The sequence below is a fragment of the Homo sapiens genome, chromosome 4, assembly GCF_000001405.40.
Source record: "Homo sapiens chromosome 4, GRCh38.p14 Primary Assembly".
In the NCBI taxonomy this organism is placed as follows: Eukaryota; Metazoa; Chordata; class Mammalia; order Primates; family Hominidae; genus Homo; species Homo sapiens.
Window position 1 is genome coordinate 103,608,432 of NC_000004.12, and position 16,924 is coordinate 103,625,355.

At 35.6% G+C, this 16,924-nt stretch overlaps 1 protein-coding gene and 1 long non-coding RNA gene across 2 annotated transcripts in view; one reads left to right on the plus strand and one right to left on the minus strand.

Moving 5' to 3' along the window:
• The window catches only part of TACR3-AS1 (TACR3 antisense RNA 1), a 75,707-nt gene extending 59,687 nt beyond the window's left edge, over positions 1 to 16,020 (plus strand). The window contains exon 5 of the long non-coding RNA NR_186501.1: positions 15,850 to 16,020. This is a non-coding gene — a long non-coding RNA (TACR3 antisense RNA 1). The remainder of the gene's footprint in view (positions 1 to 15,849) is intronic.
• The window catches only part of TACR3 (tachykinin receptor 3), a 133,955-nt gene that overhangs the window by 22,401 nt on the left and 94,630 nt on the right, over positions 1 to 16,924 (minus strand). The window lies entirely within an intron of this gene.

Consider the following 16,924-nt stretch of genomic DNA (forward strand, 5'->3'; position numbering starts at 1 on the left):
GGAAAAACTACCTATTGGGTCCTGTGCTCACTACCTGGGTGATAGAATCCAGACCCCAAATCTCAGCATCACACTATATACCCATGAAACAAATTTGCACATGTACCCCGTGAATCTGAAATAAAAAAAGAATTATGGATGTTTTCATTGGTTATAATGGAGGGACATAGATTGGAAGCTGGGTGGAGGATCAAAAGATAATTTTCTAAAATTAAACATACTGAAAGGTGTTTGAATGCTATTGGAATAAGCCTATAGGTCGCCAAGTACAACCGAAGGCTTATGCTTTCTAACAGAGTATGAGCAAATGGATTCTGCAAACTTTGGGGAGGTGGACATTTCTTCATTGTAATAAAAAGGTATGATTGTAGAGAGTATATCAAATGGATTTGTAAGTAAGTTACATGGTCAGAAATCTAATTTCATCTATTGTCTCCTAGTTTCTTAATAACTAGTGCTCAGTGTGCCTACAAACAAGGTAGCACATAGAACATTCTGAATAAATATTTGTAAAATCAATAAATTAATAGAGCCTGAGGCAATGTCATTAGCTAAATAGATGAGGAATTAATTTGATTAGAAAACAGTGTATTCTTCCCTAAATCATACATATTTCATATAAAATTGAAAGTGCTCAGAAATTGGGCTGCCTCTAGGGTGGCCAAAAATATGAAGTGTGTAATAGGGAACTACACAGTGTAATGAATATCATAGCACAGGCTTCATTATGCTGTGGAATTATTAGTGATAAGCTACTAATAGAAAAAGATAGATATTTGTTGGCCTTATTCACTGCATTCTATTTCAACAGTGGCCACAAAATTATTTCCATACACAAATGTTTTTGTAGGATGTAATATTGTGTTAGTGTGATTTATTTACACCCTAAAGCAAATATAATTCAAAATATATGTTATAGAAGCTCTTGCTGTCTTCCCTCAATATCAGCAATGCAAAAAGAAAGAAACTGCTTTTTATTATAAGAAATAACTCAAAAAGGAGCAACATAAAAGTACATTTGGTCTTTTATTTTTATGTTTTATTTTGTTTATAATTAACAGATAATGGTTGTACATTATTTGTGGGGTAGTGTGTTTCAATACATATATAATGAAATGATCAAATCAGGGTAAACAGAATACTTATCTCAAACATTTGTCATTTCTTTGTAGTGAGAACATTCAAAATCCTTTCTTTTAGCTATTTTGAAGTGTACAATACATTATTGTTGACTATAGACAACCTACTGTGTAATAGAACATGGTAACTTATTCTTCCTATCGAACTGTAAATTTGTACCTGGTGACCAACCTCTCCCCATCCCCTCTCCTGCCACTCTCCTCAGCCTCTGGTAACCACTATTCTACTAGTGATTAGTGAGAAGTAACCACTCACTTCTTCTATAAGGTAAACTTTGTTAGATTCTACATATGACTGAAATCTTGTGGTGTTTGTTCCTCTGTGGTTGGCTTAACATAATGTCCTCTAGGTTCATGGAAACTGTTACAAATCATAAAAAATAATTTTTTATGACTAACTAGCATTGTATTGCGTATATAACCATATTTTCTTTAACCATGCATCTCTTGGTGGACACTTAGGTTGATTCCACTTCTTGGCTATTGTGATTAGTGCTGCAATAAATATAGGAGTGCAGGTATCTCTTCAACATGCTAATTTCATTGCTTTTGAGTATGTACCTTGTAATGGAATTGCTGGACTATGTGGTAGTTCTGTTTTTAATTTTTTGAGGAACTTCCATGTTATTATCCATAAAGGCTGTACTAGTTTACAGTTTGTCCCTCCAATAGTGTATAAGAGTTCTTTTTCCTGTGCACCTTTGCCAGCATTTGTTATTTTTTGTCTTTTTCATAATAGCCATTCTAACTGGGATGAGATTATATCTCATTGTGATTCTAATTTGTGTTTCTCTAATAATTAGTGATGTTGAGCATTGTTTTTCATATACCTGTTAGTCCTTTGTATGTCTTCTTTTGGGAAATGTCTACTCAGATCCTTTATCCATTTTTAAATTTTATTATTACTATTATTTTTGCTATTGAGTTGTTTGAGTTCCTTATATAGTCTGGATATTAACTACTTGTCAGAGGCATAGTTTGCAAATATTTTCTCCAATTCTGTAGATTGTCCCTTCACTCTGTTGATTATTTCCTTTGCTGTACAAAAGCTTTTTAGTTTGTCATCATCTTATTTGCCTATTTTTGCTTTTATTTCTCTTGCTTTTGAGGTCTTATTCAAAATATCCTTGTCCAGATCAATGTCATAAAGCATTTCCCCATAAATTTGTCTAGTAGTTTCATAGTTTTGGGTCTTACATTTATATCTTTAATCCATTTTGAGTTGATTTTTGTAAGTGTTGAAAAACAGAGGTCTAGTTCCATCCATCTGCATATGCATAACCAGTTTTCCTAGCCCCATTTAGGGGCTTGTCCTTTCCCCAATGTGTGTTCTTGGTGCATTTGTTAAAAATCAGTCGGGTGTAAAGTGTGGATTTATTTCTGGGTTCTCTAATCTGTTCCATCGGTATATGTGTCTGTTTTTAGGCTAGTATCATGCTGCTTTCACTATTTTTGTTTTTAGTATATTTTAAGGTCGGGTAGTGTAATGCCTCCAGCTTTGTCCTTTTTGTTCAAGCTTGCTTTAGCTATTCAGGGTCTTTTATAATTTCATGAAAATTTTAGGATTGTTTTTCCTATTTCTGTGAACACTTTCATTGGTATTCTGATAGGGATTGAATTGAATTTGTAAATTGTTTTGGGTAGTATGGATATTTTAGCAATATTAATTCTTCCAGTCCAAGAAGATGGGATATTTTTCCACTTATTAGTGTCCTCTTTAGTTGCTTTTGTTAATGTTTCATAGTTTTTATTGTAGAGATCTTCCATCTCCTCGGTTAAGTTTAGTCCTAGTTACTTTATTTTTTTGTAGCTATTGTAAGTGGGATTGATTTCTTAATTTCTTTTTTAGAGAGTTTGCTGTTGGTGATAATTAATAACTAATTAACACCTTAAAGAGCAAAAGTAAGGTACACACAGTTGCCTCCTAAGGCAGAGGGGGAGTAAAATTTGTTGGAGACCTTTTATGTGCAAGGCTCTGTGCCACATGCATTACCTCTTTTGAACTAATGCAATCTGTACATATTGGAGGTGCCAGCTAATTATGTTTCAATTATAGTTAAACTGTCTAGTAGACAAGCATTTCCTTTTTTTTAACACAGACATGGCATCAAGAAGTAGAGGAGAATGATTCTGGAGCAAAAGGCCAATAAAAAAGTTTACTTTTTTGCCCCTCTAAAAGCTACATTCTTCTTGTGAACATCCACACCTCAGTAAGTGTCATCATCATCTATCTGACTGCCAGAGACAGACACTTATAAGTCATGGTTGTTTCTTTGGTTTTCCTCATTTTCACTGCCCCATTCAATCACTTGGCAAATCCTATTGACCAAGACATCAAAATAAGTCTTATATCTTTTAATATCTTGTCATCTCTACTACTATAACCTCTGAGAAAGCATTGTTGTCTCTCTCCTAAACAAATGCGATAACCATCTAATTGGCCTCTGCTTCCAAATAGCAGATACAGTAACTTTTTAAAAAATGTAAAATAGATTACCCTCTACTTAAAATAATTTTCTTATTGTATCTGAAATAAAACTGAACATTCAAAGCTTCTGTTATATTTTGCTGCCGTGTTCTCCAGTCTCACCCATTACATACTCCCATTGGTTCTTTATGCCCCAACATCCTGACTTCTTTCTGATCCTTAAAAACATCAATAATTTTCCTACTTCAGGCATTGCTTATGTTGTCTTTCTTGCCTGGAGTGCTCTTCTCCTAATTCTTTGTGTGCTTTATTTGTTCTTATTGATAAGAACTCAGCTAGAATATCACTCCAACAGTCATTTCCTACCACCCTAGTTGAAAACAACTCCGATTGCAATTATTCTCTTTCATGGCTTATTTCCTTCAGCTTTTCCAGTGTAATTTGTTACTCTCTTGTTTATTTAGGGGTTATCTTTGCCCTGCTTAAATGCAAATCCCATGAAGTTCTTTTTTTTTTTTCTTGTGGTTATTTTTTGAGACAGCCTCGCTCTGTCACCCAGGCTGGAGTGCAGTGGCTTGCTCTTGGCTCACTGCAACCTCCGCCTGGTTCAAGTGATTCTTGTGCCTTAGCCTTCTGAGTACCTGGGACTACAGGTGTGCACCACCACACCAGCTAATTTTTGTGTTTTTTAGTAGAGATTGGGATCTCGCCATGTTGGCCAGGTTGGTCTCAAACTCCTGACCTCAGGTGATCTGCCCACCTTGGCCTCCCAAAGTGCTGGGATTACAGGCGTGAGCCACAGAGCCTGGCCTGGGAAGCTGTGTTTTGCATTTCTCTCTCTCTCCAGTGCTTAGAAGAATACCCAGAGCACATGATAACCCTCTTTTAAATAAATGAATAAATGAATATATAAATAGATGAATGGTACAAAGTGAAAGATTGGTATTCTCATACATGGTTTGGAGTTGTGATGCCCTAGATAAAAAACAGCTTAAACATCATATGGGCTTCTGAGAGAGTGTTATAAAGTTTCCCTTTAGAGTCTCTTTCTATATTGCAAATCTAATTAATAATATACGGATAGTTTTGTAATGTGCAAAAATGGTCAATATACTAGTTATATTTTAGCTGTCGTATATAGTGCTGGTGAAAATAAGTCTTTGTATAGGCAAAGTGCTTACTTTTTAGTATAATAACATAGGCGTTGTGATTAAAAAGAAGGACTAAGAGCCAGGTGATAAGAATTCTAGTCCCAACCTTGCTAGTAAATATCTGTGTGATAAAGCCTCAGCTTTCTCACATACCTATAAAATGAGGCTAACCTCATAAGGTTGTGTGAAAATTATTTAAAATAATGCTTTTAAGCATTACTTAGGGAAAACTGCCATCTTGCTCACTGCAACCTCTGCCTTCCAGGTTCAAGCGATTCTCCTGCCTCAACTTCCCGAGTAGCTGGGATTACAGGTGTGCGCTACCACGCCCGGCTAATTTTTTTTTTTTTTGTACTATTGGTGGAGACGGGGTTTCACTATATTGGCCAGGCTGGTCTTGATCTCCTGACCTTGTGATCTGCCCACCTTGGCCTCCCCAAGTGCTGGGATTATAGGCATGAGCCACCGTGCAAGACTAATATTGTATTTTAATAGCTGGTAATAAAATGAAAATTGTCTTAGCTTAGACTGTCATAACAACATATAGATTGGGTGGCTTAAACAACAGACATTTATTTTCTCACAGTTCTTTAGGCTGAGAGTCTAAGATCAGGGTGCCAGCATGGTTACATTTTGGTGAAGGCTTCCTTCCTGGCTTGTAGGTGGCTACCACCTCACTATGTGCTCACATTACCTCTTTTTTTTTGGTACAGGAGGAGAGGGAGTGGAGAAGGGGAGAAAGAGAGAGAAAGAGTGAGGCAGAGACAGAAAGAGAATGAATGAGTGAGAACTCTGGCATCTCCTCTTATAGGGATACTCATTCTATTGTATAAGGATCCCATTTTTATGTCCTTATTTAACTTTACCTCCTTATAGACCTCATTTACACACACGGTTATAATGGGTGTTATGGCTTTAACATATGAATTTTGGTGATGTACAATTTAGTCCTTAGCAAAAATAAATTTAAGATATATTCTCAAATGTTCATTTATGAATGTTTAGTTCTATTACTTTCTAGACTTTCCCTTTGAGTTCTAATTTTCCAGTACAACTAAAACAAATATCAAGAACAAGACATTTAGTCTTTTTCTTTCTCTCTCTGGTAATCATCATAATAGTTTTTTAATAGGAAAGCTATTCAAGGAATATCTATCATCTTGTTATTTTGTGGAAATATGCTATGTTGGAGAAGTAGTAAAGCCAAAAAACTGACAGATTTTTTTTTCCTTGATATTCTAAGGTCTAGGTTTTATTAACTTGGTTCCATTTAGTGTTGAGGCAAAGGCTTTAAATGAATCATTAAATGGTTGAGCAGTGGTATATGTTTAAGCTCATGCTCTTCATGGAATGGTTACAGTCAAACCTTTCAGTCTTCATTGCACAGTAGTGTACTGCAGTGCTAAGAGCATTAAAGTTACAAAATTTGATTTAAATCTAGACTACGTTAGTATATTGGATATAGTAAGAATATTGATGTTCAGAAAGATTAAGTAATTTGCCCAAGGACACAATAGTCTTATTAGTGAAGAAGAGATGAGAACACTCATCACTCAGGGGATTATGAAGACTAAATGAAAATGTGAATGCCAAACTCAACATACTCTGGGCTTGATATTCATTCAATATTCAATATTCAGTAAGATATTCATTTTTACTTCATTTTCATGATCTTGCTAATTTATAATCATATTTTAAATCATTAGCACTATAACCTAAGTTGATTATGAATGTGTTTTTTTTTTTTTTTTTTTTTTTTTTTTGAGACAGAGTCTTGCTCTGTCACCCAGTCTGGAGTGCAGTGGCGCGATCTCCGCTCACTGCAAGCTCCGCCTCCCAGGTTCATGCCATTCTCCTGCCTCAGCCTCCTGAGTAACTGGGACTACAGGCGCCCGCCATCACGCCTGGCTAATTTTTTTGTATTTTTTAGTAGAGACAGGGTTTCACTGTGTTAGCCAGGATGGTCTCGATCTCCTGACCTCGTGATCCGCCCACCTCGGCCTCCCAAAGTGCTGGGATTACAGGCGTGAGCCACCGCGCCCGTCCTATGAATGTATTTGTAAAGGCAAGAGAAGACCATGGTCGTGAGCTGAGGGACCATGGGTAACATGAAGACCGAGTACTGGAGGGCCAAATACTTCTGTCAAATTTCATAATAGCAAGTATGCAGCTAGTAGGAGTTAAAGCAGTTAAAACAGCTCTTCCTTTTACCATATTTCCTGCTATCGTGTGTGTGTGTGTGTGTGTGTGAGAGAGAGAGAGAGAGAGAGAGAGAGAGAGAGGGAAATGGGTTTGTTTTGGGAAGTGGCATCAGATTCATGTTTCTCATTGCAACTTAAAAAATAGCAAGCCTAATTGTTGGATAGTTATAATGGCTTTACTACTTCTCCAACATAGCATATTTCCACAAAATAACAAGATGATAGATATTCCTTGAATAGCTTTCCTATTAAAAAACTATTGTGATGATTACCAGAGAAAGAAAAAGACTAAATGTCTTGTTCTTGATATTTGTTTTAGTTGTACTGGAAAATTAGAAAAATAAAACTTAATAAAATATGTTTCACAATGAAAAGACAATATATGTTCTTAAACAGTAAAAAAGTACACAGACTCTAATGGCAATTTAATTCTTAACTGTAATATATAGAGCATAAAATTAACCAAGGCATGAAATCTCGGTATATTTTTTTGTTTGTATTTAAGATTTCAATTTGTACTGGCTCATAAATTTCATCTGAGATAAAGGAAAACAGCTTGTCTATATATCTACTCCTTTAGATCATAAATATTTTCTGAGAAAGAGTAATATCCTCTGCTTTGACAATTCCGGAAATACATTTTATAACAGTGCATTCAAATGTTTCCCATAATATGTCAGAAAAACTGCAGATGTTGTGGAAAATTCAATGTTATGGATTCATACAGGTCAGTAATGTCAGAAATTCATGACCTGTGCTAGAGGAAACTCCTAGACAGGATAGTGAAGAATGCAAAGTTTTAAGTGAAACATTAATACAAGTTTGTGGGTTACTACACAGCACAGAACAGACAACCAAAGAAAAAAAGACAGGACATATTATTATAAAGATGTTTCCAATATAAGAATTTTAGGGATTCTGGCTCCCAATAATGGCAGAGTACATACGTGTATGTGTGTGTGTGTGTGTTTGTGTATCACAAATGTACAGAGCATATACATAAATAACATATGGAGTATATAGTATATATAGTATTGTACAATGTAAAGAGTAGCATGTATATTTATCTCTCTATAGACACACACATATACATTATACTTGTGCATATATATGTATGCATGTATTTGTATGTATACATTTGAGTCCCACCAAACTAGAGAAAAATCCTCAGTAAAAACTGTTTTCAGTAGAAACCCTAATTTTCCCAGGTGTATGCTTAAATGCTATGCCTAAAATTAAAAGATTAAAAGATTATCCTAAAACCAAGGGCAAAACTAAAATAGATTTCCCTAACAAAATATAAAACCAAATCTCAGCCAGGCGCAGTGGCTCACGCCTGTAATTTCAGACCTTCGGGAGGTCAAGGCAGATAGGTCTCTTGAGCCTAGGAGTTTGAGACCAGCCTGAGCAACATAGTACAACCCTGTCTCTACCAAAAAATACAAAAATTAGCGGGGCATGGTGGCATGTGCTTGTAGTCCCAGCTACTCAGGAGGCTGAGGTGGGCATGTCGATTAAGCCCAGGAGGTCCAGGTTGCAGTGAGCCATGATCAGGCCACTGCACTATCACCTGGTAAACAGAGCAAGACCTTATTTCAAAATAATATTAAATTTAAAAGAATTAAAAAACCCAGACCTCCACAAATCTGAGATGACCCACCAGTAATTTTAACTGACTTACAGGAGAAAGCATAGAATTTTTCAGATGAAGATATGATCCAGACTCTTAATATGCTACTTCACAATGTTCACTAAGCAACAAAAAATTATGAGACATGTGAATAAATAGAAAAATGTAATCCATAGTCAAGAAACAAAATGAGCAAATATATTTCACAATTAGCAGGGAAGACCTTTAAATAAGTACGATAAACATATTAAGGTATCTACAGAAAAAGTTAGTTATAATGAGTTAAAAAATCGAGAATTTCAGGAGAGATATAAAAAGTATTTAAAGAAAGAGAGAAGCAAATGCAAATCTTAGAATAATATCTTAAATCAATACAAAACATTTCATTTTAATCATGATTATGTAAATACTTGATAAAAAGTACTTGATAATACTTGATTCATTTTGTTACTATCTCAAATCTTTTTCCAAGACTATAGCTCTAGAATAAAACATTTGTTTTCATCATTACTAGAAGAAAAAAATTAATTTTGGGGGACTTCTAAGCAAAATCTTTCTATTGTTAAGTTCCCATTAATTGCTGCTGTTTCTGGTCAGAGTCTATTCTTTTTAGCAACTCATAAACATAAGAATTGGTGTATGCTGCCTCATCAAAAGTGGAAACCAGACTTGGAATATCAAAATGATTCATTATCGTTTAATGTTTATTTGAGTCATAAATATTAGAAGATCATAATTCATTTGAGTCATGGTTTAAGAAAAACAAGCAAGAAAATGTATAGCAAACTGATTTATTTTGAAATATTCTACCCTCCATATTAAATGTAAACTTTCATATATAATGATTATTTTTTAAGTAATGACTTAAATAGAGGAATGAACTTAACTAGTATCATTTTGAAAGAATATGTGTTTATCAGGCACCTGGGGGAAGGTAATTAGGAGAGAAAAAAATATCACCAGATGTCATGATGCTTGTAGATAGAGAAAATAAAATTGATGGGAGAAAAATCATAAAATATCCTAAAAATTCAGTGTCTATGAGTTTAGGAAAAATATTTTTTCACTGGCTTTTAGTCATCCTTTGAGGGCATTTGTCATCAGAAAAAATAATTCTATTTGTGTTTTTGTTGCAATTGCTTTGGGGAACTTAGCCATAAATTCTTTGCCAAGGTCGATGTTGAGAAGAGTACTTCCTAGATTGTCTTCCACGATGTTTATAATTTGAGGTCCTACATTGAAAGCTTTAATCCATTTTAAGTTAATTTTTGTATATGGTGAAAGGTAGGAGTCCAGCTTCAATCTTCTGCATATGGCTAGCTAGTTATCCTAGCACCATTTGTTGAATAGGGAATCCTTTCTCTGTGGCTTGTTTTTGTCAGTCTTGACAAAGTTCAGATGGTTGGTTGTAGGTGTGTGGCTTATTTCTGAGTTTTCTGTTCTCTTCCATTGGTCTAGGTGTCTGCTTTTGTACCAGTGCCAAACTGTTTTGGTTACTGTGGCTTTATAGCATAGTTTGAAGTCGGGTGGTATGATGCCTCTGGATTTGTTCTTTTTGCTTAGGATTGCTTTGGTGACTTGGGCTTTTTTTTTTTTTTTTTTTTTTTTTTTGTTCCATATGAATTTTAGACTAGTTTTTCTAGTTCTGTGAGGAATGACAGGTAGTTTGATAGGAATAGCACTGAATCTGTAAATTGCTTTGGGAAGTGTGACCATTTTTACGATATTGAATTCCTCCAATCCATGAGCATGAGATGCTTTTTATTTATTTGTGTCCTCTCTGATTTCTTTCAGCAGTGTTTTGTAGTTCTCCTTGTAAAGATCTTCCACCTCCTTGGTCAGTTGTATTTGTAGGCATTTTATTTTTTTGTGGCTATTGTAAGTGAGATGGTGCTTTTGATTTATCTCTCAGCCTGGAATGCTGGTATATAGAAATGCTATTGATTTTTGTACGTTGATTTTGTATCCTGAAATTTTACTAAAGTTGTTTATCAATTCTAGGAGCCTTTTGGCAGAGTCTTTAGGATATTTCACGTAGAGAATAATGCCATCTGCAAAGAGAGATAGTTTGACTTCTTTTCCTATTTGGATGCTTTTCATTTCTTTCTCTGAAAGTTGCTGAAAGTGTTTATCAATTTTAGGAGTCTTTGAGCAGAGACTATAGGGTTTTCTAGGTATACAATCATATCATCTGTGAAGAGAGATAGCGTGACTTCCTATTTTTTTTTTGACGGAGTCTCACTCTGTCACCCAGGCTGGAGTTCAGTGGCACGATCTCAACTCACTGCAAGCTCTGCCTCCAGGGTTCAAGCAATTCTCCTGCCCCAGCCTCCTGAGTAGCTGGGATTGCAGACACCTGCCACCACGCCTGGCTAATTTTTGTATTTTTAGTAGAGACAGGGTTTCACCATGTTGGCCAGGCTGGTCTTGAACTCCTGACCTCAAGTGATCTGCCCACCTCAGCCTCCCAAATTGCTGAGATTACAGGCATGAGCCACTGCACCTGGCCACTATTTAGATGGCTTTTATTTCCTTCTTTTGCCTGACTGCTCTGGCTGAGACTTCCAGTACTATGTTGAATAGGAGTGGTGAGAGTCGGCATCCTTGTCTTGTTTCAGGTCTCAAGGAGAATGGTTTGAGCTTTTGCCCATTCAATATGATGTTGGTTGTGGGTCCGTTACAGATGGCTCTTATTATTTTGAGGTGTATTCCTTTGAACTCTAGTATGTTGAGGGTTTTTATCATGAAGAAATTTTGGATTTTTATCAAAAGGTTTTTCTGCATTTATTGACATGACAATATGATTTGTGCTATTGATTCTGGTTGTGTGGTGAATCACAATTATCAACTTGCAGATATTGAAACAGCCCTGTATTCCAGGAATGTCTCCAAAGTAACAAAAACTTGCTAAGTTGATAAGTGGGACCTAATTAAAATAAAGAGTTTCTGCACAGCAAACAAAAACTATCAACAGAGCAAACAGACAACCTACAGAATGGAGGATATTCACAAACTATGTACCTGACAAATGTCTGATATCTGGAATCTATAGGGAACTTAAATCAACAAGCAAAAAAAAAAACCTTATTTTAAAAATGGGCAAAGAACATGAACAGACATTTTTCAAAACAAGACATACAAGTGGCCAACAAACATATAAAAAATGCTCAGCATCACTAGTTGTCAGAGAAATGCAAATTAAAGCCACAATGAGATATCATCTTACACCAGTCAGAATGGCTTTTATTAAACAGTCAAAAAGCAACAGATGCTGGTGAGGTTGTGGAGAAAAGGGAACACTGTTGGGGGGCTTAAACACTATTGGTAGGAACATAAATTAGCATGACCGCTATGGAAATCAGTCCAGAGATTTCTCAAAGAACTTAAAATAGAGCTGCTATTCAACCCAGCATTCCCATTACTGGGTACACCAAAGAAAATAAATCATTCTACCTAAAAGACACATACGTTCATCACTGCATATTCATTCACAATAGCAAAGACATGTGATCAACCCTGGTACCCATTAATGATAGAGTACAATTTAAAAAATGCCCATATACACCTTGAAATACTATGCAGCCATAAAAAAGAGGGAAATCATGTCCTTTGCAGGGACATGGATGATCCCGGAGGTCGTTATCCTAAACAAACTAATGCAGGAATAGAAAACCAAATACCACATGTTCTTGCATATAAGTAGGAGCTAAACATTGAGCACACATGGACATAAATATGGGAACAATACACATCGTGGACTACTGGAGGGTGGGGGTGGATTTAAAAAACTACCCATTGAGCACTATGCTCACACCTGGGGGATGTGGATTCATACTCCAGACATCAACTTCACACAATATTCCTATACAACAAATCTACACATGTACTTGTCTCTAAAATAAAAGTTAAATTTTAAAAAATAAAGATTCCAAGGAAACAGATTCATTCATTAATCTTATAAGCATTTATACCATTCTTGAATTATGTACCTTGTGAGTTGTTGAATATCTAATGCTAAGGCATAGACCCTGCTCTTCAGTTTGGTAAAATTTCTTGGAACAGATAGCTAAACAAAAGAACATTACTTATATAATGTTGTATGCCACATGCTAGAGTTTTCCATGTGGTATTGTGGAAGCTCAATGTGAAACACTGAGGAAGTGGAGATATTGAAGAGTCCTTCTAGAAGAATAGCTGTCTGTGATGAGAGCAATTGAAAAGCAGTGGGGGAAAGCAGGGACGAGTCTTCTGATCACAGAAAATAAGGTAACCAAAACTCATGCCTCCTTCTAGTATTACGAATAGTTTCGCTGAGTGGGATGTACCATGTACTACAAGGTATGCTGATGAAGAAGCTGGGAGATAAGGATGGAGATGAGAATAGAGGGCCAATATGTGTTTACAGGTCAGAGAAACCATTAAAGAATTTTAATAAGGGTATTCATAAATTCAGATTTTAGATACTTTGAAGACAGTTTAGAATGGACTTCATTTGAGTGGAATATAAGATAGGCAGGAGGCTTTTTATAAATTCAGACAAAGAATTAGGTAGTTCTAAACAAGAATGGAGAAAAGGCTTAGGAAAGAAGAAAATAACTATATGAGTACATTTAGAGTTAATTTGAAGGTCCTTGTCATTCATTGAACATTGATTAAGGAAAGGGAAAAGTTATAGATTATTTCCAGATTTTTTGTCTGGACCACTGTACAGATATTAAGAATATTCTATAAAATGGAAACAGGCATTTCAGAGCAAAAATTATTATTTAGTTTTTACCAGCTTACTTTGAAGCGTCTACTACACATAGGTTTGGAGTGAGAGGTGGTTAATAAAATTTTAATCTCAAGCTCAGGGCCTAAACCTAGAGAAATCTAGATATGGGCATAATACAAATGTAGATTTGAAAGTAATTTTTAAGGGTGTTGATATCCTGGGAGATGAGATTATCCAAATGAGATCCTAAATGAAAGTATAAAAATATAAAGAATGGGACTTTGGGTAAAGAGTAGCATTTAAGTGGTTGTTAGAAGAAGAAAAGCCAAAAAAGTCTACTGAAGAGGAATGGTCTGCAGAGAGAAAGGACACCAATGCCATGGACAGGGAGACTTCTCGAAGGGGGAGTGATCAAAGGGTGTCTGTTCCTTCAGTCTAGCCAAGGACTGAATACATCCAATGAATTTAGGAACAAAGAAGTCAAAGGTAACTTTGGCAAGGGTGGTTTCAGTGGAATGGTGTGTTGGAAGCCACAGCGAATTAATCAAAGGTGTAAAAGATTGATAAGAGAAGCAGGCAAAGAGATGTGAGCATACTTACATTTTGAAGAGAGAACATGGTGAAGTAAAATAGGTCATGGTTCAGAAGACAGATGGTTTCATTGACGGAGGACTACTCTTGAGAAGGAAGTGCCAAGGATACAGAATATTGGTAATGAGTGGATGAAGGACATGAAAAGATAGAAATCAGTGAAAGGCCAGGCACGGTGGCTCACGCCTGCAATCCCAGCAGTTTGGGAGGCTGAGGCAGGCGGATCACAAGGTCAGGAGATCGAGACCATCCTGGCTAACACAGTGAAACCCCGTCTCTACTAAAAATACAAAATTAGCCAGGCGTGGCAGCGTGTGCCTGTAGTCCCAGCTGCTGGGGAGGCTGAGGCAGGAGAATGGCGTGAACCCGGGAAGCGGAGCTTGCAGTGAGCCGAGAGGCTTGATGAGGTGTTCAGAGTGAGTCTAGCCAAAAATATGTGGCCAATTGAACCTCCAACCCCCACATAAAAAAGAATCCAAAATTCAATACTAGGAATTATTCAGGTACCAGAGAAGAACTGCATTGCTGTGGAGTTATGGAGCTCAGTAGCAAGCAGCTATCAGACCCAGAGGAGACTAATGTCAAGGTGGTTGGATAAGGGCATTCACCCAATTTTAAGAAACTACACTTCCAAAAATAAAATAAAATGCATGTTAAAGTTCTACTCAAAATGAATCAGAGGGCAAAATTTAAAAGATGAAAATGCCACGAGGTCATTTCCTGGATCTACCTGTCCTCCAACTGGAGTATACCTACCTAATGTATTTAAAATAATGTACAAATTTAAATAACAAAGTCTTTAAAATATATATTTATCTTAAATCCTCCTCTTCACAGGAGGATTTAAGATACATTATTTTAAATATTGTATTATTTAAATCTTCCTGTGAAGAAGATTTAAAATAAATACATTAATGCTTTATACATGTATTTAAAATTTATACAAATAAAACTATAAACTTTTTTCCACTCAACTATTGTAATCTGGTACTTTAGTTGGATCAAAATATATTTGCAAAGCTATATATTTCAGAGAGAAGAGAATCTGATTTATGCTGCTAAATCATGCAAAGATAGACACCCTGGGATTTTTCTCTATTTTTTTTTAATTAACAACTTCATATGCTGGAAAATAGTTTTCTGCTTATTTTATGGCAAAATTTATTTTGGCTTGTAATCATAGACTATAACAGCCATGTTTGTGCCATATAAAAATTTGATAACATGACTATAGCAAAACGTATCTGAACTATATGTCCCATTTTAGGTTATGAGACTTAAGGAGGGTGTGGGTTAAATCCTTTATTTTTGAATCACTTGCCCAAGACTGCCTAAATCCTAGGCAGTCTTATAGGAAGACCAGAGAGCAATAGAAACTGAATTTTAAGGCATAGGGTCTCCCATTCAATGTATTACAAGTGATCCCTAAATAAATGTAAGTTGATTTACTTATTGCCTCACAGTACTGGATTCAGAGGTCTCTATGCATAGTCCTTCTTGCAAAAATTTCTTGCTTGGTAATGAAATTTTCTAGGAGATGCTCCAGGAAATCTCACAGCTAGAAGGTAGACTCGTTTTCGGATGATGGAGACCTGGCTTATATTCTGAATAATGTAAATAAAACAGTGACTTCTAGTTCTCCAGGGTATTTTGTTTTAAAGTAAAACACACTACCTTGTTCAATCTAGGTTAACTGTGGCATATCAACCTTTCACTATCACTCATCAGTTTTTAATTTCTAATGAGAAACTTTATATGAAGAGAATTATTTCATACTTGATTGTCTGCCTTTTAATCCACACGGGTAACATTTGAAGGACCCGTTGCTTATTCTAATTAATATTTGAGTTCCTATTCCCTTTAGGTATGCAATTACTGTTTTCTGTGTTGTTCTCATGTCTTTTATGATGCTGTTTTTCTTTGCAGATTTAGTATACAAAGCATGTATGTTCCTTTAGGGTGTTAGCAAAAATAATTTTCCTTGTCTGGGCTTAGATGGTGCAGCAAGAGGCTTTAGAAATTCCTGTTGCAGAGATTTATATAAGACTGCCACATCTTACTGGAGAATGATGAAATAATGAAGCAGAAATAATCTGAAGATAATACCTGAGAATCAAAAGGGATAAAGTAATCACAGTGCATTATTCCACTAGTTCTAAATGTTTTCAAATAAAAAAAGATTAAAGACAGGCTTGAGAGGCATACAAATGATTTCGACAAAGCCATAAATTTGAAAATATGCTGAGTAAAGTATATAGGTGTATAGAAAATCATAGCACTTTGGAATTTACAACTTAAGCAAAGTAGTAGAAGAAAGTCTCCCCGAAATCTTTGTTGAAATGAAATACAAATGAAAATAGTATTAGAAAGAAATCTGAAGAGATTTACAGCATGTAATTGGAATTACAGAAATAAAGCATTTGTGTAACATGGTTTGTAAGACAAAACATTATTTTTCTATTTGTAATTCCCTTTTGACTTGAAGGAGAGTGAAATGTGGGTACATGGAGAATATTTTGTTTTTTCTGAATAGGGTAACAGATGTGGGTAGGTATTTGGAAGTTTGGAATCATTTGAATTATAGGAAGAGGGCTACAGTTTGAATTGTCAGAACAATTCTAAATTTGTCTTTAAAAAGTGTGGGTGAATGGTCTTTCTGGATCAGAGAAATGGATCAAGGGGGAGCAGCAAGACAGGGAAAGGTAGAGAGGGAGAAGAAAAGAGAGAAGGAGATTAAAAAAGAGAGAAACACGCAATTGCCTCAGAACTGACTTCAGAAGAAATGTTGAAAGGAATTTTATGCCGTGAGAGACAAATTATCCTTTTGGACTCATCTACAAAATCCTCAGTAAATTTACATTTTTCATTAAGGACATATGAAAAAATTAAAAAAGTTATATACATGGAGGCTGCTAAAATCTGGTTTACATAGGCAATGATAAATGAAAACAATATTACTGGGAATTGAATGGTATAAAACGTGTAAGGACTATGAGACATTTACAGAGTGCTCTCTTGGTGGGAAGTAGGTGTTGTGCTAGGCACATTAAAAACTTGGTCCCTTGTTACA